Source organism: Homo sapiens, chromosome 2 (genome assembly GCF_000001405.40).
Source record: "Homo sapiens chromosome 2, GRCh38.p14 Primary Assembly".
NCBI lineage: Eukaryota > Metazoa > Chordata > Mammalia > Primates > Hominidae > Homo > Homo sapiens.
This window is the reverse complement of record NC_000002.12, coordinates 225,495,507-225,518,411: the sequence shown is the minus strand read 5'-3', so window position 1 is coordinate 225,518,411 and position 22,905 is coordinate 225,495,507. Positions and strand designations below refer to the sequence as shown.

The following is a 22,905-nucleotide window of genomic DNA, read 5'->3' as shown; positions in this document are numbered from 1 at the left end:
AATTTATTCCTTCCAACTGAAATTCTGTATCCTTTGACCAATACTTTCACCCACTCCTGCCCTAGCCCCTGGTGATCACCAGGCTACTCTTTACTTCTACAGGATTAACTTTTTTACACTTTACATGTAAGATCAAGCAGTATCTGTCTTTCTGTGCTTAGCTAATTTCATTTTACATAATGTCTTCCAGGCCCATCCATGTTGCCAAAAATGTCAGGATTTTATTCCTTTTTATGACTGAATAGTATTCTATTGTATGTATGTGTGTGTATGTGTGTGTGTGTTTGTGTGTGTATGTGTATGAATGACATTTTCTTTATCTATTCATCTGTTAAGGGGCACTGAGGTTGATTCCATATCTTGGCTATTGTGAAGATTGCTGTAATAAACATGAGAGTAAAGATGTCTCTTCAACATACTGGTTTCCTTGGAAGTGTATCCAGTAGTGGGATTGCTGGATCACATGGTAGTTCTATTTTAAATTTTTGCTCTGTTCACTATTCCTTAATGGCTATCTTAATGTCTATCAATAGTGTATAAGGGCTGTCTTTTCCCCACATCCTCTCTAGTGCTTATCTTTCATGTTTTGGCAATAGCTAGGTGTGAAATTAAGGCTCTAACATGCAAAGTGGGTGTGCATATCTTTTCTTTTCCTCTTTGTTTTTAATATATGTGCTATACCAGACCAAAATTTCATGTTATTCAGGCCTATTAGAAGTGGTGATTCAATAAGGTATTCAGCTCTATTTGTACGGCACCTTCTTTGTACCATGCACAATCATTGGCATTAGTTCACCAGGTTGTCATAAAGCTGTGAGGGATGCAGGATCTGATCATTTTTTCCGTTATTCACAATCACTTTAAAGGTAAAGAAACAGTCCCATTGGATCACTTGCCTAAAGTCAATGTTTGCCTGTTGATCCTAAGTACAGTCTCTTTTGCCTAAACTAGACAGCATTTCTAACAATGACATTATTGAGGAATCGGCTATGTGTTTACCTGAGGAATGGGGATGACCAATGTGAGGGTGCACACTCCCTCCTTTTGCTGGATCACACATGAGACACAGCTCATAGGGCCTCTCACTCTTTCTACTTAACCCCCTTTAGATCATCTAATCTTTCCTCAAAATAAGCAGGAACCACACTGAAGCAATAAAAAGGGGTAATTAAAATATTTATAGTATACTGATTGCCAGTTTATGCTCACCACTATATAAATTTTTAAAGGTGTTTCTGTTGTAGATAATCTGAAAATAGAACAGTAAACATATATTTTTAATGTAACAGAGTTACAATTTTTAAACACTAAATTATACTTTTTTGGTATGTGATTTTTTTTTGTTTGTGCTCAACAGTTTTATTTTTTTCTACTCTGAAAAGCCATTTTGTAGAGTCCAGTTCTTTTTACTTTTATCCACAGGGAAGTCATAATCCCTTACTTAAATAGAAGCCTGTTACCATGGCAATCATTCTAATGCCACTGAATCAATATTTTGATTTTTCTGGCATTTAATGTAAAAAGAAAAGACAGGCTAAGATTTATAAAAGTTATTTTTTATGTTTGTTATACTGTTGATAGCTAGAAAAATTATAAAGAAAACATATGCTCTGTAATGAACTCCAGTTATAGCACAATTATAAAGAACTGAGAGTTCATAAAAGAACAATCTACATATTGATATATTAATAATTTTGGCTCTGAGTACACATATATATACACATGCATTTGGACTCAAGAGTTTTCTCCTATCCCTGAATTGAGCCCTGTCTTTATGCTATTATCATTGAGGTCATAACTTGGTAGAAGAGATTTGCATATATCTGCTTTTGCAATTGCTGTTTTATTAAGTGTTCTGAAGAGAAAAAAAAAAGGGAAAGTAAAATTCCCATGAAGAATCACTTCTCTATGGGAGTCTACCATTTCTGCACTGGGTCCCGACAACTTATGTAGCCCACTGAACACCCTCAGAGCTCCTTTTTGAGGAGAAATGCTGGATTTGGAGTTGGTGTTTAATGAGCTCACTACCTATCAAGTATTTTTTCCAAGTCTAACAAGTCTTTGCTGCTACAGTTCAACCACATTTGCTACTTTGTCTTCAGAAGAAATAAAGCTTGTTGAACTGCTGCATTCTGCTTGACAAGTAGCCATTGGGAGCCCACTATCCTTAGATGGTGAAGGCATCTGAGAGAGAATTATGATACTCTCTGCCCCAGGAACTAGCGATGAAACATCCCAAATGAATGGGAATCCCTTCTATTTTTAAGACAAGTGAATGGCCACTCAAATTTTTCTTCTGTGGGACAGTAATCACGATTTTCTCCATACTTTCACTCTAAGTAGCCCAGCTCCCCCTCCACGAAGGCGGCTTTTCTGAGGTATTCTGAGGTATTCTGAGTGTATTTTACACGCTTTCTAGAAATGTTTCTGCCAACAAGGCATTGATAACACATCCCTTATGGGCTACTTTCTTTGTCCTTCTCATCTCTCTTCTCTCTTTGGGTGGTTCTTTTATTCCCCTTTATTCTTGAATTATTCCTGACTGCATTCAGGCCCCCCATCTTTCAGTGATCACTTTCTTAAATCAGTAATTTTCTTTTGAAAACAATCTAACATAATTTATTAGGTAGTTTTCTGGCAGTAGAAGTAGGACAGTGGTGACTTCTGCACAGAGAATCACAGAAAATAAAGAGAAATGAAAAGCACCATGTATCAAGGAAACCTATGAACCACATTTAAAATTTACAAATGGTAGGCCTCTGGGGCCTTTTAGTATACTACTGGGTTAACTAAACACCTATTAATACATTGTTTCTTAAAAAAATGTGTTATAAGTTGAAGGACTTACTGATAACTCTGAATCATGAGAAAAAGAATCAAATGTCTAATACTCTAAGAGGGCAGAGGAATAACAGTTATACACACACACACACACACACACATGAATGTTCATTGTAGCACTATTCATTGTAGCTGCAAAACAATCAATCTGAGTATTCATCAACAAGATAATGATTAATTACTTGGCTGTACACTTCTCTCTGTTAAAGTTGTTTCTTGACAAATTGCACACCATGGAAATTAGTTACAATAGAAGAAGTGAAAATACAAAACACAAGACTATACACTATGATGTCAATTTTGCAAATATGCAAACACATACATATTATTCATTTGTGTGTCTTAACCACATATACTTACATGCAAGGCATTTTTTGCATATGTATAGCAGGAAAAACTGAAGCCACAGGAGTTTTTTTGTAGAATTTATGGACTGACTCTATCTCCAGGCATTTATTGGTATTGAAGATATTGGTTGTTTTTGGCTAAAGGCACCTGAACACCAATGAGAGAGGAAGGAGAGACAAAGATGATGGGAGAGATGGCACATACCTCATAGGCATCTGATCTCATGGACTGCCTATGAGAATCTGTGGAAAGATTAGGCCAGAAGGCCAAGGGGCTTTCATGAGGGACTAGGGAGCCCATGTCACAATGAACACTGCCTAGTTGAAGAAAGGACCATGTGGCTCTCTGCGGCAAATATACTTGGTACCCTAGAGCTCAGAGAAGCTTGCTGTGGAGAAAGGAGAGTGGGGCAGAAGAGAAGCTATGGGACCTGGTGGAACGCCTCTCTCAAACTGGTCACTGGCAGCATTGGGAACCTTGAAGTGTTTTCCACATTTGCTATGTAAAGATCTCAATGTGCCTGTGCAATGAGCTGAATGTTTGTGCTCCCCAAATTAGAATGTTGAAAACTTAATCCCATAATGATTGTATGTGGAGGTAGAAAGGGAAGGAGAGCAGTGCTTTCAGGAATAGGATTAGCATCCTCCTACGAAGAGGCCAGGGAGGCCTTTCTGCCCTTTGAGGATACAAGGAGAAGTCGGCAGTCTGCAACCAGGAAGTGGGCCCCAACAGAGCTCTCAGGCTTCCAGCCTCCAGAACTGTGAGAAATAAATTGCTGTTGCTTATATGCCACCCAGGCTATGGTGTTTTGTTATAGCAGCCCCAAATGACCAAGATAGCTTGTGTCAAGGCACACTTAAGGCTACTTTCCCACCATGGAATTCTCAGGAGTAACTCAGGGAAGCTGAGACTCTACTAAATTCAGTAAGGCCTAAAGAGCTGGTGAGATCTAGTGTTAATATGACCTAATTTATATTCATAGACCAGCAAGGAGGCTGGGATATATTTGACTTGTATGTTTCATAGCTGAGAAAAAACACAGGCAGATAAAGGTAAAAATTGGAGATATTAAGGAGAGTTTAAGATTATAGTATGCACACACATACACACATAAATACATAAATTCATATTCATTGGAAGGAAATTCACCAAAACATTAAAAATGATTATAAGCTTTTTCTTGATATTTTCCTGAATTAAAATGTCCCCTTGATAATCAAATAATAATACCTTTAATTGTATAAATAGTATAAGAAAATATAACTTTTAGATATATTTCTGGGCAGAATAATTTTTGAATAATTTGAAGCTTTAAAGGATTAAAAAACTCATATATTGCCTACCCTTTCTGAACTATCAGAAATACATTCTTCTGGAAATTTGACAACACATCAATAAATAACCTTCCCCTCAATTCTTCTTTTCTGGGACTTCAGGGTGAGAGGCAGGATTATGTGGCCCAGTGAAGAAGGCACTTGCCCCTGGGCATGCTGACCTGAACATACTATCTGAAAGAGATTTCTAGGTGACATGGACATGGCGTGTTTTACCTTCAGTCCTCTCAGGGGTTTTCCCGCTCTTACTGGCTGCAGTGCTGCTGACTGTCTCTGATGAGGTGCTCAGCTTGGTGCTGGGGTCCCTCTTGGGTTTGGGTGGTGGTTGTCTCCGTGAGCCACAGCTGCTGTCATCGTCTGTGCCCCCAACCGAGTGCAGGGACTGTGATCTCACAGAAAAGCCACTGGAGCAAGGATGGGGAAGTCTGTCCTGAGGAGCAGGCATTGTCATGAATCCCATGCGGAAATGTTTGCCCACGTAACTTCCTTCGTGGCCTCGCCCTACTTCTCCACCTATGCTGTAAAAGAAAGCAGACCAAAAACCATGAAGACAAAAGGAGCCAGGATATACAAGATCATACATGTGAGAATATTACTAATAGGGAAAATTTCAAATCTTCATTTTAGTCCGGTGAAATGCTGCCTTTTAAAACAAACTCAAGTAGCATGAAAGCATTCTAACTTTTGTGTTAAATTTTGTTTTCCCCAAAGGAAAGAAAAAATACTGCATAGAACACTTATCTTCAATCACTTTATATTTACTTTAGGTAAATCTTATCAGTGGCTTAAAATGTAAACAAGAATTCCATGACTATGACTCAGATTCATTTTGACGTGCAATTCAGTCCTAGTGGTCAGCACTTGAGACTCTTGTCCACTTCATCAAAACCATTCCTGCTTTTATCTGCTTAATATATTGGAGAAAATGAAACAAAAAACAATAATAAATGTTCTGTTACGAAAGAAAGAAAGAAAAAGAAAGGAAAGGAAAGGAAGGAAGGAAGGAAGGAAGGAAGGAAGGAAGGAAGGAAGGAAGAAAGAAAGAAAGAAAGAGAGAGAGAGAGAGAGAAAGAAAGAAAAGAAAGAGAGGGAGGGAGGGAAAGAGGGAAAAAGAGAAAAAGAGAAAGAAAGAAGAAAGAAAAACGAAAAAAGGAAGGAAGAGAAAGAAAGAAAAGAAAAAAGAAAAAGCAAAGCAAGACAAGCAAAGCAAGACAAGCAAAGAAAGATGGGAGGAAGGGAGGGAGGAAGGAAGGAAGGAGAAAAAGTAAAAAGCAAAGGAGAGGAAGGGAAAGGAAAGGGGAAGGCAGGAAAGGAAAGGAAGGAGGGAAGAAGGAAGGAAGGAGGGAAGGAAAAAGAGAAGAGAAGAAGAAAGGAGGAAAGGCAGGGAGGGAAGGAGGAAGGAAGGAGGAAGAAAGGAGGGAGGGAGGAGAAAATATTTGCTTAAATTGGTGAAGGTATTGCCAACCACTCTCAATCCTCCAGAATCTTCAGTTACATTAGAAACAGTCCTACTAAGAAATCAGACACACAAAATAAAACAGCAACATTGAGTAAAGAAGTGCAGCTTAAATATCGTTTGATCCTGAGATGATTCTAATACTTCATAAATATTCAGTGTATGCAAAGTTTCCAAATTTAAGGTTCTTAAGTTTTACATAGGAAAGTTTGAACAAAAATATTAAAATATAAGAAATCCCCTCTAATTTTGGAACTCAAGCAATTATTTAGGAAATGACTCTTGGGCCTCTGTCTATGCTATTAAGTAATAGTGACTCCTTTATGAAAAGAAGGGACACAAATGTGAATGTAAACTTTTAAAAGGAAGATTTTTCTAGAGTTTCTTTTTATCTATGAAGTTCATTCACCAAGAGTAAACACAATTTTTTAAAAATACCATTACAAAATTTTTGACTAATTTTCTTAGATATGTTTGAATGGTAAGAAGTACCTCTGAGTATATGAAGTTTGGAAGCTTGCTGAGTCTACCTTCCCAGACATGTAAGTTTATTCAGATCTTCATTTAGTAAAACTAATTTTGGCTGGCTCTGCCTTCATAATATGATGGAATTTTATATCTTTCATATCGTTACAATGTTTGTTATGATTTTAACATTCCAGTAGGAACAATAATGAAAAATGAGATTTTCTTTTCCTCCTTCAACTGGGGACTTATGACAATTACATGTCCTTTGGGGATACAGACAAGAAGAATTTAACAAGAACATTAGATTCTTGATTCTGACCTTTAACACCAATGATAACTTGCCACTCAACCCAAAATATTTTATATGTATTTTTTTCTGAATATTTTCAACTGATACTCAGACACTAAGCACGGAGTACCATCTTTGCAATAAAGGTGGCTGGAATTTCAGTGCACTAAAAATCAACAGTATCCAGAAGCATGAATGGAGTCCAAGTGATGGCTAAGGGGCAGTGTTGACATCATAGCCGAAAGTATCCTAAGTCAGTGCAGTGTTTTTATGTGTTTTATCCTCTCTCTCTCTCTCTCTCTGTGTGTGTGTGTGTGTGTGTGTGTGTGTGTGTGTGTGTGTGTGTGTTTTAAAGAACGGCAATTAAGACATACATTAGAAGCTTATCCAAACAGAGTGGTTTGTGAAAAATGAAGAATATGAGAAAGGATGGGATAGTGGACGTGAGGGGCAGTCTTGGTATAGGAAGGTCTGTCTTCAGTTTGTGATGGTTGTGGTTTTGATCTTTCTCATAGATGATATACTTGATGTAATCTAACTTTGCTTTCAATTATTTTTCATCCTAATGTCTTTTGTTCATTTCTGTTTCATCACAGCACAAAAGGTGCTTTAAGGATTTATTTAGCCAGTCATCCCATTTCTGGTAACACAGCCAGCTGGGGAAATTTATGCATGTGTTAATGCACATGGGCATTTATGAGTTACTAAAAATAATTCTATCAGCAATTTCTCAGTTACTTTTGACCTAAATGGAGCCTGAACTTTTTCCCGGACTGACAATTTAGTCTGCTTCATTTCAGAATTATCTTTTTTAACAGCATACAACAACTTAATCTAACTCTATCTGCTTTGGTTCATATATGCCTTTTACACACACACACACACACACACACACAAACACATTAACATTTCTTTCAAGAGAAATTCAATGCATGCTTCAAGCACTAGCAGGTACCACTGCAAGTTTAGTTTGACCAGGCTGTAAATACAAGATGAAGAAATAGGACAAAAACAAATTTGGATGCGAAGACCATTGTTCAAGTCAAGGCTAGGGACAAACAGTAAAGGTGATGGCACATCTAGGTTCAAGAGACCCAGAAAGGTTATTAGCCCAAAACAAATTGAAGATTGTGAAATGCAGCATACAACTAGTTTCTGAATTTGCTAGGAACATGTGGAGTTTTTTAAATATACAGATTCCCAGACTCCATATGAAGGGCAATGATTGAATCATACCTGTTGAATCAGAATCTCTGTGGGTGTAGAAGATGAATTTGTGTTTTTAAAACTATATCCAGATGTTTCTGATGTAGCTAATCCAGAACCCCCCCAGAAATATTAAGAACAATAGTTAGGGCCATTAATGAGTAGATATATCAATTAGAAGCAATCAGGAAGAGGTAAATACTAAGCAAAATATCACGAATGAGAAAACATACAACCTATTAGCCAAATCTTATTAGGTTATCCTGCAGTAACAAACAATCCCCAATCCCTAATGTTTTTTAATGATATAGGTTTGTTTCTTGCTTGTATGAATGCACATCAACTGTGGCTCTGTTTCACATATATTCTTCACCCCAGGATGTAGCCCCATTGGGACTTTTTCTCCTGGCAGAGAAGGAAAAACACCAACTAACTTATATGTCTCTCCTGGCTTCTGCTCAGATGTGGCTTATAATCTTTCCATCACTCTCCACTGACTAAAACCAATCTTATGGTCAAGCTTGAGGTCAGTGGCCTGGGGACTTATTCTCCTCCAATAAATACTGCAAGTCATATGGCAATATATGGGGATGCATATTCCTTGTACAGGTAGGAGATCAAATACCTGGCAGCTGTGATGGTATGCAACTGAGATCTCTTAAGAGAGCACTTGCCATGAGGAATGAAGTTAATTGACGAGACAACAATGAACCATTGAGCACTTTATGTTTCCGATCCCTATAACTCTGGACTCTACAGAGTTAAAAGGTCCAGGTCCCCAAAGAGGCACACTCTTTCTAGAAGACACAGGAAGTGTCCCATTGAACAACAACTTATAGCTGCCCCTTCAGCAATTTGAACACCCCTTGTGTAGTGGGTAACGGGCAACAAGAAGCTGATCATGGTGGTGTGCACCTGTTTCCCAGACACTCTGGAGACTGAGGTGGGAGGTTTGCTTGAGCCCAGGAGTTCAGGGCTGCAGTGGGCTATGATCATGCCACTGCACCACTCCAGCCTGGGCAACAAAGAAAGACCCTAGCTCTAAAACAAAGAAACAAACAAAACAGAAGTGTCATTGCCATTGTGGAAGATATCCCTGATCCTGGTCAGCAGGAGGTAAGGCTGATTTTATGCAATGGGGCAGAGAGAAGTATGTGTGAAACCAAGGTTATCCACTTGGGTGCCTCTTGATACTGTCTTGGCCAAATGTGACTTTGAAAGGTCATACGCAGCAACCCTGGCCCAGAAAGGTTATGGTTACTAAGGACTCCAACTTCTCACGAATGAGAGATTAGTCTCTCCACCAAGTAAGCCACTGAGACAAGTGGAAGTGTTTCCTGAAGGTGGGGTGAATTTAGGATGAATGATGGAGGAGGGAGATGACGAGAACCAGTCGTAGCTCCCATACAAACTGCGGTGATGAGGGCTATAGTTTATCTCACTAACTGCACCCTTCCAAGTTTCCCCTCAAGAAGAGCCAGAAGAGAGCTAGGAGAGAACTGTTCCCAAAGCCTGCAGGAGAAGGACATCAGCTGAGTCTAGGGAGTGAACTGTGGCAGCCATGGAGGTGTGTGGCTCAGAAGTCCCTCAACAGAGAACCTCCTCTGAGGATAGCAGTCAGCTGCCAGCTGCCGTCTTCCAAATCTGGTGCAGCATTTTAGTTGAGGCTATGTTGTCCATGGGCAGCTCCTAGACAATGGATGAGCACAATGAGGTATTACACCTGATTACTTCTTCCCAGATTCAGGCAACCTTTATGGCTGGCTTTCCCTGTTGCACTGGTCAAGACCTTCCTTCTCATCACTGCATCACAGTCTGATGATCTTCCTATTCAATTGCTTTTCCTCCCCCTCTCCTTCTACAGGTGCTAGACCTGCATTGTGATCTCAGACTTGTCCTACCTCTTCTGCTTCCTCCTTCTTTATCTCTCACAGGCATTCTTCCCAATAAACCTCCCAGACTTCTAACTCTGTCATGGTGTCTGCTTCCTGGGAGACCTGAACTGACATACTTGGGAACAATTCCTCCGGCATTCAGAAACCAAAGAAGCAGGGAAAGAGAAGGCATCACGACAAATGGAAGACCCCAGAAATAAGGAATGCCTGTGAAAATAGGTCATTCTCCTGCTTCAGACTGAGCATTTAAATGAGGCTTGAGGAGTTAGAAGCTAACTTCACTATAGGAATATTTGGCTGGAAGTGAAAGTTATGTGGGCTAAAGAAAGAGTCTTGTTGCAATAAGACTCCAACACTCAAGATAGATTAAGCCTGACACATCTCATGTTATAAAAATAAAAACAAGTTTCATAATCCTGAATTTAAACAAGTATGCTTTTTCTCATATAATGAAGGCAATGTTGTGAGATCTACTTGTCTGTTGGTTAGTTATTCCATTACAAAACACAAAGTGTAAAATATTATCTAAATCAAGGAGGGTTATTTTTCCAGAAGTAATTGATGCAATGTTTGTAAATATCTCCACCAAACAAATTATTGGCTAGTAGACAGGCCTGGACATTTGTGCACTGGAATCATGGAGTTATAGACTATCCCAGAGCCATTATTTAGCAGCTGTATAACATTAGCTACTGAATCCCTGGGGCCATTTCCTTAGCTGTTTAATAGCGGCATTGGCCCCGTCAAACTGGTATCAAATTTACCTGATATACTGCATATGAAGCATTTAGCAGTCTGATATATAAAATGCAGTCAATAATTTTAGCCATAAAATTCCTACATTTAAGTCTTTTCCCACTGAATTTTGCTTATAGGATAGTCATTTGCATTATAAGGCCATGCCTGTAAAGCATGCCATATGGTACCATGTAACCTCAAAAAACTTCACACAAAGAAAATCAAAATAAAATCCTACATTTAACTCAAGGTATCAAGATAATCTAGGCAACTGTAGCCCTCATGTTGTTAACTTTCTTAAATACTTGCATCAATTTTTCAAAGCACCTGCTGATTAGGACCGATAAAGAAAAGTACAAAACAAGCACTTCAAAACTGCTCTGACAATGCTAATCACCACAGTTTGTTCCTTGTCTTGCTGTCTGCTTGAAATCCATCAGCATTGATGTTGTGTGTTTCCTTATGAGAACTGCTTCCTTTCGAAGACAAAAACAAAACCCATGAGAAAGGTGAGCTGCTGAGGTGAGACATCATCTTCAAAAGTGACAGGGGTGTTGCTTCTGCATGCAGTTTTGAGGCAAACATGTCAATATTTTGTAGTAGAGTTTTCTTTGCTAAGCACTGGGAAAAATATAATCCCACCCCAGATAGATAATGATGATGACAATGATGTAGACTGATAGCTAGATAATGATTGATAGATAAGTAGATAAAGATATTGATCCTCTTTTATGCACATCTAGAAATTTGAGATACAAACTGAAGGGTTGCCTAGGAGTTTGCTTGCTTGAGTAATTCTTTTCTGTAGTGATATTTTGGAGTTGAGCTCAAAAACCTATCTCTGAAACTGATTCATACTCCAGTGTATTTCTACCTTTGCAAACTTTGCAAACCATTTGGGATTTTTTGTGTTAAATTTTCAAAAAGATGTTTTCATCTAGTATCAGGGAAAGGGCACATTCAACCATACATTAAATGGGGGAACACCTGAAAGGGAAATGGTGGTGGTTACAGCTGTAAAGAAGAGGATGAGATTTGCCTGTGGGCAGGTGGGCCACTGTCACCTGTTAACTCTTGGAATCTTTCATGTGGGCATTTCTCTATGAATGAATAGAAAGAAACTAATATTTACACTTTCTTCATTAAAAGTATGATTTAAAAAGTTTATATTTGATGCTGCCTCCCTGTTGCCTTCTCTTAAGATGCTCAAAGCCAAATGCTCACCTTGTGCTGCCTACTGAACATCCCCCTGGCCCATCCTACCAGAAGGATCCCTGCTCCAGCAGAATGGCCTTTTCTAGGTATCAGGACCAGCTAGGCTGAGCTGTGCTCATGGAAATTGGCCATCTAGAGAGCCACTAGTAACACCTCTTCCTGTTTGACAAGGAATATGCCTCAACTCAAAGTCAGACTTTTAAGAGAGAGGCATAATTAGTTACATCTGCTTTGACTTTTGGCAGGTGTAACTTGTCATACAATTCATCATATTCACACGCTCTCCCCAGCCCCATTGGCCTTGAGTACAAATGGCTGGTCACATTCACTTACCCCCAGATTCATGAAAGCAGGCATTCTATCTCCTTGCTCACCATTCTAGTCACTAACACACATTTGTTTTACAAAGGAAAAATGAGTAATGGAAGTAAGTCCACTTTGGAGATAGCCTAATAAAAGGATTAGTTAAAAAAAATTGTGGACATATTTCACTTTTGCTTCCCAGGGATGCATTCTCCTTTATCTTTGCAATGGAAATTCCTGTAGGGAATCTTTTTTTTTTCTCTCTCTCAGTCCACCATATTGCTCAGTCTCAGCCAAACAAACGTTGGATCACCCTGGCCACCGTGACTATTTTAGGAACTGGCAAATGCCTCAAGGTGGTCCAATCAGAGTGAAACCAGGGCATACACGAAGCTGCACTGGCCAGAAGTCCGGACCTGCTTCATCCTTCTTCCCATTGTGAATGAAAATAAGTGGGACCAGGTCTCCAGGCCTTGAGGAAGACCTGGCTATAGCTATGTCTGCAGCTAGAATAATCCCAAACTGTTCAGGTATATCAACTACTAAATTCCATTTTGTTAAAGCCAATTATATTTGGGTTTCCTGACAAATGTATTGAGAAAAGTCCTAAATGAACCAGTATAATAATCTGCAGACAGTAGTTACTAAATAAGAGTTATTGGCTGACTTTTATCAGAAAATGCATCTGGTGTCAGGGATAGACTCAGGATGATACAACACAGGAAACAAATGCATGCAGCTTTATTATTTGAAGAAATCCCTCCTATTTAACACTATGAATAAAAATAATTAACTGCTTTATATATTTGCCCCATATATAGTTTTTAAATCAGGCAGTATACTTGGATATGAAAACTTGGCTTCAGTAAAATTAAACTGTGTTCATATTTTCTTCAAATTGTTTACTCACCATTACCCTTAATGTCTTCCCTGAGCCACACATGCTCATTCAAAACCATAATTTGTGGATTTCTTGCCTTAGGCTCAAACACTCATTTTCACCACTTCATATCCTCAATGATATCTATTTTCTACTTTATGCACCTAATATTTTAAGTCTCCTAGTTTTTTTCAGACATTAATTTCCTGTGTCTGGCTCTTTATTGATACTTCTCGGATATGAAGGTCAAGTGTTAAAAGTGGGATTTTTACACATCTTTTTATTAACTGCTGTGATGAACTGTTATAGAAAAACAAAATAAAATGACAAGAAAAAAACAAAACTGTCCTGAAGAGAAAGGACTCAGTTTCCATTAGTTCCAGATATTATACTTTAAGATAATGATGATGATGATGATTTTTTTTTTTTTCGAGACGCAGTCTTGCTCCGTCACCCAGGCTGGAGCGCAGTGGTGCAATCTTGGCTCACTGCAACCTCTGCCTCCCAGGTTCAAGCAACTATTCTGCCTCAGCCTCCCAAGTAGCTGGGATTACAGGCAGACACCACCATACCCAGCTAATTTTTGTATTTTTAGTAGAGACGGGATTTCACCACCTTGGTCAGGCTGGTCTCAAACTCCTGACCTCATGATCCCCCTGCCTCAGCTTCCCAAAGTGCTGGGGTTACAGGCATGAGCCACCGTGCCTGGCCTAAAATGATATATTTTAAATATCAAATATGTTCTTTCTCCTTGGTAGGAGATTTCACCTCTGCCAAAATTCAGTATCTTAGAATTTGAGATATGTAACTAACCAACTTATTTACTAGCTATCCAATTATAGGTAGAAGACATATACTTTATGAACTTCAATTATGCTTATCTTTATAAAGAAACACTTTCCAGGGTTGTTATAAAGTAAAATGAAATAAGACATTTTAAAATAGCCTATCAAGGTGGCTGATATAAGTACAGGTGCTATAGACTGAATGTTTGTCGCCCCTGCTCCCCCACCCCAAATTCATGTGTTGAAACCTAATCCCCAGTGTGATGGTATTTGCAGATGGAGACTTTGGGAAGTGATTAAGTCTTGGGGGCAAAACCCTCAGAATGAAATTAGGGCCCTCATTAAAGAGATCCCAGAGAGCTCTCTCACCCCTTCTATGGTGTGAGGACACAGAGAAAACAGCCATCAATGAACCACGAAGCAGGACCTCACCAGACACTGAATCTGCCATCAGCTCAAGCTTGGATTTTCCAGCTCCCAGAACTGTGTGAAATAAATGTCTGTGGTATTTATCCTAGCAGCCTGAGTGTACTATGACAGGAGGCTGGACAAATGTTAATTTACCTCCCCTTCCTTCCTGACTTACCTAACTCTGTATCAATTTTTATCTTTCTGTTCCCAGTCATCAAATAGCCATTTTTAATAAGTTTCCACCCTAGAGCACCATGAAGGAAAACATACTCTAATCATATCAATACATTTTGTTTATTTTTGTAAGAGGGCTTCAACAGTATTGTCATGCAATATACTTCCAAATCCAGACAGTAAATAAAAAGAAAAAGTCAAGAAAAAAAAAGCTATAATTATCAGTGGACATAATTATAGAGTTGCACAAATCTATTGAATGGATTTTATGGTCATCTCTATCAAACACCATGATAATTTAAGATTTTTATGAATGTTAGAGCTTAGGGTAATCATGGCTAGGGAGTTATGCTTGAAAAACAAGCACACAACTTATTTATCACGAAGTGCTATTGCCAAGAGTTTGAGGTTAATATTGCTGCCCATTAATGTGATGCTTAATTATAATAAAGGAAGGAGGTTACAGAGGGAAGTAGAGAGATTTTTTTAACCTCTATCAAAGTTCCTTTTCTTCATTTCTGAGTTTCTAAAGAGGCAGGACAGAAATATAATGCTTATTAAGGCCAGAATAAATTCTATGGAACATCTTTAAGAGACTTATTTTTACTTAAAACATGACAAGTGCTTTTAAGATTAACATATGTTATTATCTACGGTACTTTGGAATCTAAAATTAAAACATTCCTCATTTCTATACATAAGACTCTTCTACTTCTTGAAGTGTCATGGCCTAAAGAGAGGGTATATGGAAAATAAATTATAATATTCAGATTGAACTTAGAATACAGTTTACAGAAGTTCACATCGTGGGAGATCTTTTCCAAAAATTCAACCAGAGGAGGAGAAGTTCTGGAAAATATATTTTATTTGTGTCTTCAAAACTGACATAAGCTTTGAATATGGTTTGAGAACATGCCAAGTTTTTAGAAATGAGTTTAGCTAACCATATGTGGCTCATTTTTTTCAACCTAGAAGTAGAAACTAGAAATATAGAATAACATATAATGGCCTTGAACTTCCTGAGCAGAAGGCCTTAACTTAATGCCAGTTTAAAGTATAATAACTGGTTTAGCTTTCTAAAGGTATAATTTTTAAGGAGGACAAAACAACTCTGTCTTGAGGAATTTATTTACTCACTATTTATTTACAAAATATCCAAGTGCCTATAGTTTGTCAGGCAGTGAACAGAACAGAGTGGTCAGGGTCCTCAGAAAGTCACTGGCTCTTGAACCCCTATGATTTCAGCACCTTGTGATCAGATGTTCTCTCACAAGAAGTATAAGGCAGGTGCAATGGAACAACAAGTCCTGGGGCCCTAACAACCACCAAAGGGCTGGGAAGCCCCATGGGAAGATGTGGCTTCTCAGCTGATGCAGATCATGAGTAAGACTTCATCAGATGAAGAGAGAAGTGGGGAAGAAGGGGATTTGTGAGCTGGCAGTGGGGATCTATAGAAATTGAAAAATTATCAGTATATTTGGGCAAAACTTAATTGGTCCTTGTCTGTCTTGTATTTCCAATGGCTGGAACAGTGTTTGGCCCAAAGGCACAACCAATAAGTATTAATTAAATAAATGAATGTATACATATATGTTTGGGAATAGTTCAAGAATAACTCACAGGTTTCTTAAGCAACAGGATGGATGATACTATTATTTAATGACATTCTTCTCTATTTCCTTCTTCAGTGGCCATTTTCTCAATTTATGATGAAGGAGAAAGGAAAAGTCTGTGACTACTCATACACTATTAATTTTTGTCCCTGTTGGAACCAGTAATCTGAATGCAGAGATCAGCTTAATCCCCTTCTCTCCATCTCTACCGCTCGGCTTTGGTTTAGGTGCTCATCACTTCTTGGCTAAATTAATGCAATTGCCTCTTAGCTGATCTTTCTCTACAGTGCTGCCAGATTTATCCTTCTAAATGCAGATTTGCTCGTGTCACTCTCTAAATTAAAACCCTTTGATAGCTCTTCCATTTCTTTGGACTAAAAATCCAAACTTTTAAGTTATACTCATGGTCTTTTAAGGTCTGGATTCTATGCCAGTTCTCATCTACAACATGTTCCCTTTCTGACCTCAAGAATTCTCTAATGGAACATGTTCCTGCCTTAACATTGCCAAAGGACTCTATGCTCCTCCATGTGATAGCACCTCCTTTATCACACCCTTCAGGTGTGTTCTCTGATTTGATCTCCTCCACTGGTCTGTGAGCTCCTTGAGAGCACAGACCATGCATTGTTTGTAGCAAGTGGAAAGTGGGTAGAGATAGTGGAAGAGAGAGAAAGATGTGACCCAGTAAAAACTGCTAGGTAGTTTCAGAAACTTTTCTTTTTGAATTATTTTGGGATAGGCATTTTCAAGCTCTCATTGGAAAGAAAAACTACAATGATACTATGAGGCTTAGGTATGATTAGCTAATAATTGCTTTCACTGTTGAAACAAAAAAAAATGTATGATGGAATGCTGTTTTCAGATATCCCAACGGCCAATTTGAAAAATTCAACATACAATTCTAGCTCTATTACAAACTAGTTTTGTGACCCCAGGCACATTAATTCGTTCAGTTTTGTTATCTTCACCTCAAATTAGAGGCTACCAATATCTCTCTCTCATATTGTTTTATACATTATTTACATGCCTGAGATAACACAGTAGAAGCCTCTAAATTAATCATTATTTAACAAATCCCTGGATTAGATATCATTTTCCTTCAACTTTGTAACCATCTTGATTGACACCAATGGCATTTTGAATTCCAGAGTCAAGAGGCTACTCTCTGGTTTGTCCATACACTTATGATCTGGAGACTAGATTGTATGCTTATGAGATCAGTTATGTTTACTCTCAAACCTTAAGCCAGTTTGAAGTTGGACCTAGAGGGAGAACACATGTTCCTATTAGTAAGAACTGTAAAGTCATGCCCTGGATTTGAGAAAGAGCCAAACAACTCAAAGAAGTGGCAGATGCCATACTCTTCAGTATAATTTCAGTATGTTTTCTTCTCTGAAAAGTTTCCTATCCATAATAAGGCAACTAGTTACTTTCTCAGCCCAGACCATCATCTATGACACAGTATTAGATACTGACACCACCCTTGAATGCTTCCTCTTTTTCTGTTTTAGGGTGCAAAACTACCAAAATATGTACCCCATTTTGCAAAATCTCTATTCTCCATAATATTGGAAGAAAGGGATTAGCATGACCCCAAACTATTTCTGGCATGAAATTTCATACCAGAAAAATGAGTTTTCTTGAAACCTGTACTTCCCAGGTATATTGCCATCTATTCATTGACCTTCTAGCAGAGAGATGGTGTGATTTGTCAAACAAAATCAGAAGACTGAGATAAAAAAGTTTTCATGTCAGCTCTGTCTTAAACCTACAGCATTCGCCCTTCCCAAACATTTGTAATATGTGCTTCTTCTGATAATAGTGTCTTAAGATTTAATGAAATAATGCTCTAAATTTCTTGAACAAAACAAGATCTAAAAGACTTTATAGAAAGTACCTGAAAATTGAAAATATTTGAGCACAGTGAAATGCTTCTTGCAAAATATTCTGCTGAGGTCTCAAATATTTTGCAGTTTAAAACAGAGTCATGAAGATGAAAGGGAAAAACACACCTCAGACAGATCCAGAAATCCTAGCCATGTATTTACGGAATCATTGTGAAAAATGAACTACCAAGGAAGCAAAATAAAACACTGTTTCATCTTTCATATCAATTCAAAAATAATTCAATGTCTTTCTAAATAATGAATGCAACTTAAACTTACCCTTCTTAAGATAACTCTGCAGTTACACGTAGTACACACCTCTTTATGACTGCAAGCTTTAGGAAACCTCGGTTTTGACAAATCTGAACCCAGTCCCTCAGAATAATACCTCAAGGTCTATTTCACTAACAAGATTGTTGTTCTCCAATGAGAGGTCCCTGGGTCTTTCTCCTCTACATATTTCAATTTCTCTACATCATTAACTATATTTTTTCCTCTGGTATGCTGACTCAATATCTCTTAACAATTTTTATACATATATTGTTCTTCCACTTTATTCTCCATGGTATATTCTTCATTGATTATTCTCATCAGCAATCCTAAACATTTCCAACTCCCCTTTCTTTAGCAATACTTAGCTCAAACATCGTGAGCTCCTGCTTCATCTCTTGTATTCTTTCTCTGTTTCTCTCTATCCCTCCCTTTCTCCTTCCCTTCTGCTATTTTTTCTTGTCTCTCATTCGTTTACTAAATCATTCATTCATCTTTAATTCACAAACATCTATTGAGCATCTCTTTTGTGCCCAATACATTGTTAGCTGCCAGGGATGCACCTTTGAACAAGACGGCAAAGTCTCAAAAGGGGTTCTTACCTTCTTATCACTGTCCTTAAGTCACATTCTTTGTGTATCTGTTGTACTCTGGCTTCTACCACCAGAGTCTACTGAAATGGTTTTCTTAAAGCGGTGGCTCAAGCCTGTAATCCCAGCACTTTGGGAGGCCAAGATGGGCGGGTCACCGGGTCAGGAGATCGAGACCATCCTGGCTAACACTATGAAACCCCGTCTCTACTAAAAATACAAAAAAAAAATTAGCCGGGAACAGTAGCGGGCGCCTGTAGTCCCAGCTACTCGGGAGGCTGAGGCAGGAGCATGGCGTGAACCCCGGAGGCAGAGCTTGCAGTGAGCGGATGGCGCCACTGTACTCCAGCCTGGGTGACAGAGCAAGACTCCGTCAAAAAAAAAAAAAAAGTAACCTTTTCCTTGCTAGTGGCATAAACTAGAAAGTTTTATTTTTCTCTAGATTCTTCTCAATACCTTTAGAGCCATTTTATCTCTTTTAGACCGCAGCTTCTTTCTGGAATGTCCTATTTCCTTGGCTTCCTGAATACTGTCCTCTCCTGCTTTTACATTTTTCCAATTTGTCCTACTTGGTATTTCCACTGACTTCTCTTATTGCCCCTCATGCTTCAGTGTAGGTCAAAGTTCTGTTTCCCCTTTTATGATTTTTCTGTGGTTGTCTTTGACAAATATCAATTTTTAAGACTTCAATGCTATCCTGTCCACGTGATTTTCAAATCTAATATTCCATGGTTACCTGCATTCTGAGACATCTATTCGCCCTCTCAACAAAATACTGCGCATTTCCAAATGGGTGTTCCTTTGACACCCAAGATTAGCATGTTCCAAGCCAATGTCATTGCCATCTCCCTTTTCCCTCTAATGAAACTTTGTCTTCAAAGCATCATTCTCTCAGTCACAGAGAACAAATGCTTCCAAGAAATTTGACACCTATATACTTCCTATATATACAGACACTCAAACTGTCAACCGATTCTTCCTCTTCTACCTAGATTTCACATCTATTCCCTATTTTCCAAACCATCTACAAGGCTTTTTATGAACTTTTGGTCCCAGCTACTAAATGATATTCTTACTTGGATTATTTGTCTCAGTTTTCCCTAGCAATAATGCATTCATTGACCTAAAAAAAAAAAAAGTCCTAAAAAATAAATGGGATCACATCAATCCTCCTCTTAAAAGTCTTCAGGATTACCCAAAATAAGAGTCCAGTTCCTCTGTAAGGAATTTAAGCTCTGCTTAATGTGGCCCAGCCTTCTTTCTTATCTCGTCATATCCACTCACATAATTCTTCTTCCCTCCACTCCCCTGGGGTCTTTTCCCCTTCAAACTACATCTCTATTTGAGGAAAAAAAAAATCTCAAGTTATTCAGGGCCTAAACCAATGCCACTTCTTTCTTAAACTTTCATCAATACCCACTCTCTTCTTTAGTGAACTTCCTTCATATTGTCACTATTTGCCTTATATTACAGCTATTATATACAACCTTGACATTATACAATTTGTGAAGATAAAAATCAAAATGTGCATGTTTCCTTTATCTCCCATGGCATCTAGTATAATTCTTTGAGTGTAAAAGTTACCATGTAAATATTTATGGATATAAATTATTTTAGACCTACATTAAAAGGAATACATAGTTAATTATATTATTTCCAGGCATATATTAAAGAGTTACAGAAATTTTGCTTCAGTAGAATAAATCTAGAAGACCAAAATCTTTTTAAAATAGAGACTTGGCTTGAATAGGAGTAAAGAGATAAAGTGAAATATAGATAATAAGTTATGTCATCCAGAAATTTCCAACCTCTAAAGGGAACTGATCTCAGTATCTCTAATTGAATAGTCAAGCCATACATTTTCCAGGAAGTGAAAAAATTCCATCATCTGTGTGTCTATAGAAAAAGACACTATAGATCACACACACACATGCATGTACATGTACATTGTTTCCAGACAGAAAATTTCATTTCTAACACTGCTCCTAAATCATTGTGTGACCACTAGAGAATTCATTTCCCAATAGATTCATTCATTTATCCAGTGAGGTAGTAATACCTTACCCCATGATCCCTCAGGATCCTTGTGGGATTAAATGCACATATAAACCCAGGTCAGGTTTTATTCATGAAGAGTTTTTCCTAACTTAACAACAAAAAGCATTTTACAAACATTTCTATTGGACACATCACCTTGGCAAACTGATAAAGCTGAGAAGTGTCCTCCCTGGCATTTTTGAAGTCCATTTAAAAAGTCAGGCCTTAGAGTTCTAAAAACCCAGCTTCCAGCCCTCATTCATGTAACCGGAGTGACATGTAAATGTGAATCACTAAAGACGCTACTTAAGAGCCAAATACTTATGCGTGGATGCATTAGTTACTGTAAATAGAGTGGCCAGTGTGCTGTCTCTATGCACAACAGGTTGCAGATCTGCTTAATGTACCCAAATGTAATAATATGATAGATTGAAATATAGGTGGCAAAATTACCTATGCAGAGGCCAGGAGCTTGGCTCCCTGTTTTTCTAGAATAGCTTTCTGGGAACAATGCACTTTCCCTGATTGGTTTTCTTCTACAAAATAATTGAATCGAATGCCCTGTGTCAATGAAGGCACTTGGATTATCCGCTTTATGCTGTAGCCCTAAGGGGTGTCAGCGTCCAGTGTTAATTTGCCTTTGATCAAACCTCATCTTCTCCAACACATATTTATTCATAACTAATTAAAAGGTATTGTCACAACATATTAGCAACGGTTTTAATGCTCACAATGCATCTAAAAATAAAAAAAAAAATTCTCCATTACAATGGAGGCAGTATCTTAGTTGGTCTCATTATAGTATTTATCATCTATTATTTGTTGCACACAACAGCACAATGAGCCAGTACTGTACAATAAAGATATACACCCCTCAGGGTTTACAGTTTAACTGAGAGCACATTTAAATTTAAGATCCACCCTATTAAAATAAAACCTTCCTGTACACATGGAAGGTGACCAGGGAAATTTAACTTCACAGCTTCCTTATTGGAAAGAATCTCCTTTTTACTGAAGCCTGGTTCAACTTAAGGAGGACAATTAACTTAGTGATTCTTTGGCAAAGGTTTTCTGTGGGGCTTTATTGTTTTTGTTTTTGTTTTTTCCATTTATAACTCATTTGTGGCCATCTGTTTCAGTTTTTTCTTAAAGAGTTTGCAAACCTTGGAAAATACAGGATTTGGATCAGGGTAGGAATCACCAAAAGATATTTTCATTGCAACCCATGTAGTTTAAAAAAAGGAGGATAAAAAATGTAAGTTGTAGGCTAATTTGGGAATGCATGAGACACAGTGTTAAATATACACATATTCCCTGGCCACACACTTTCTTGAAATCTTCTCCCCAAAGATATTTTTTTTTTCTTCCTGTCATAGCCACCACACTCAGGGCCACAATCTGGACTTTTGATTACCAGTAACCTCACTCCCTCTGTAACCTCAGTTTTAAGCGTCTGTATGTGTGACTACCATCACTTGCCTTTTCAGTTTGCTTCCTTTGCGTTTTCAACCTTAGCTCTCCTTTGACCCCCTTTTGGAACTTTTTCCGTTCCTTGGTCTTGCAATCTTTTCTGTGTTTCTCAATTGCTGTAAATCTTGTCTTCCTAAATGCAGCTTAAATTTTGTGATCAATCATCTCTACCACTCCCTGGTATATACCTTCAACATGCTTATCCTTGAAGTGGTAATGTGATGAGCACAGGTGTGTCAAATGCGGAGGTCAAGATCAGTTAATTCAGACTCACAGCAGGTGGGGCTGTCATCATTTGCAAGGATGACCTCAGCAACAAACCAGATTTGGTCTGCGGTCTTCTCATCTATCTTCCATAGCTTTACTAGGTCAGTCTACTGAAGATATGCTTAAAGGGAACATTCCTTTGTTCAAATCCTTGCAATGGCATTTTATTTTAAAATATTACATAATGCGGCGACACTGCACATGTTCAATCTTATTTTCTGCTACAATAATCACCAGTATCTATTCTTGTGATTTTTATGGCCCCATAAAATCACAAATATCTGATTTATTAGTCAATTAATTAAACCCATAACTACTGAAGACCTGTCTGTCCTAGATAGTGTGCTAGGCCCTAGTCATTCAACAAAAAAACAAATTATCTCTCCCTGTAAAACATAGAGATTAGGGGTAGAGTCAGGTGATTAAGAT

The 22,905-nt window shown here is 38.1% G+C and overlaps 1 protein-coding gene across 4 annotated transcripts in view; it reads right to left on the bottom strand.

Annotated features, from left to right (window-relative positions):
• NYAP2 (neuronal tyrosine-phosphorylated phosphoinositide-3-kinase adaptor 2) overlaps positions 1-22,905 on the bottom strand; it is a 305,716-nt gene that overhangs the window by 185,243 nt on the left and 97,568 nt on the right. For all 4 annotated transcript variants that reach the window (XM_047445201.1, NM_001371273.1, XM_047445200.1 and 1 more), the window contains one exon: positions 4,740-5,041. In XM_047445201.1, coding sequence (XP_047301157.1) covers positions 4,740-5,041 — 302 coding nt within the window. The remainder of the gene's footprint in view (positions 1-4,739; positions 5,042-22,905) is intronic.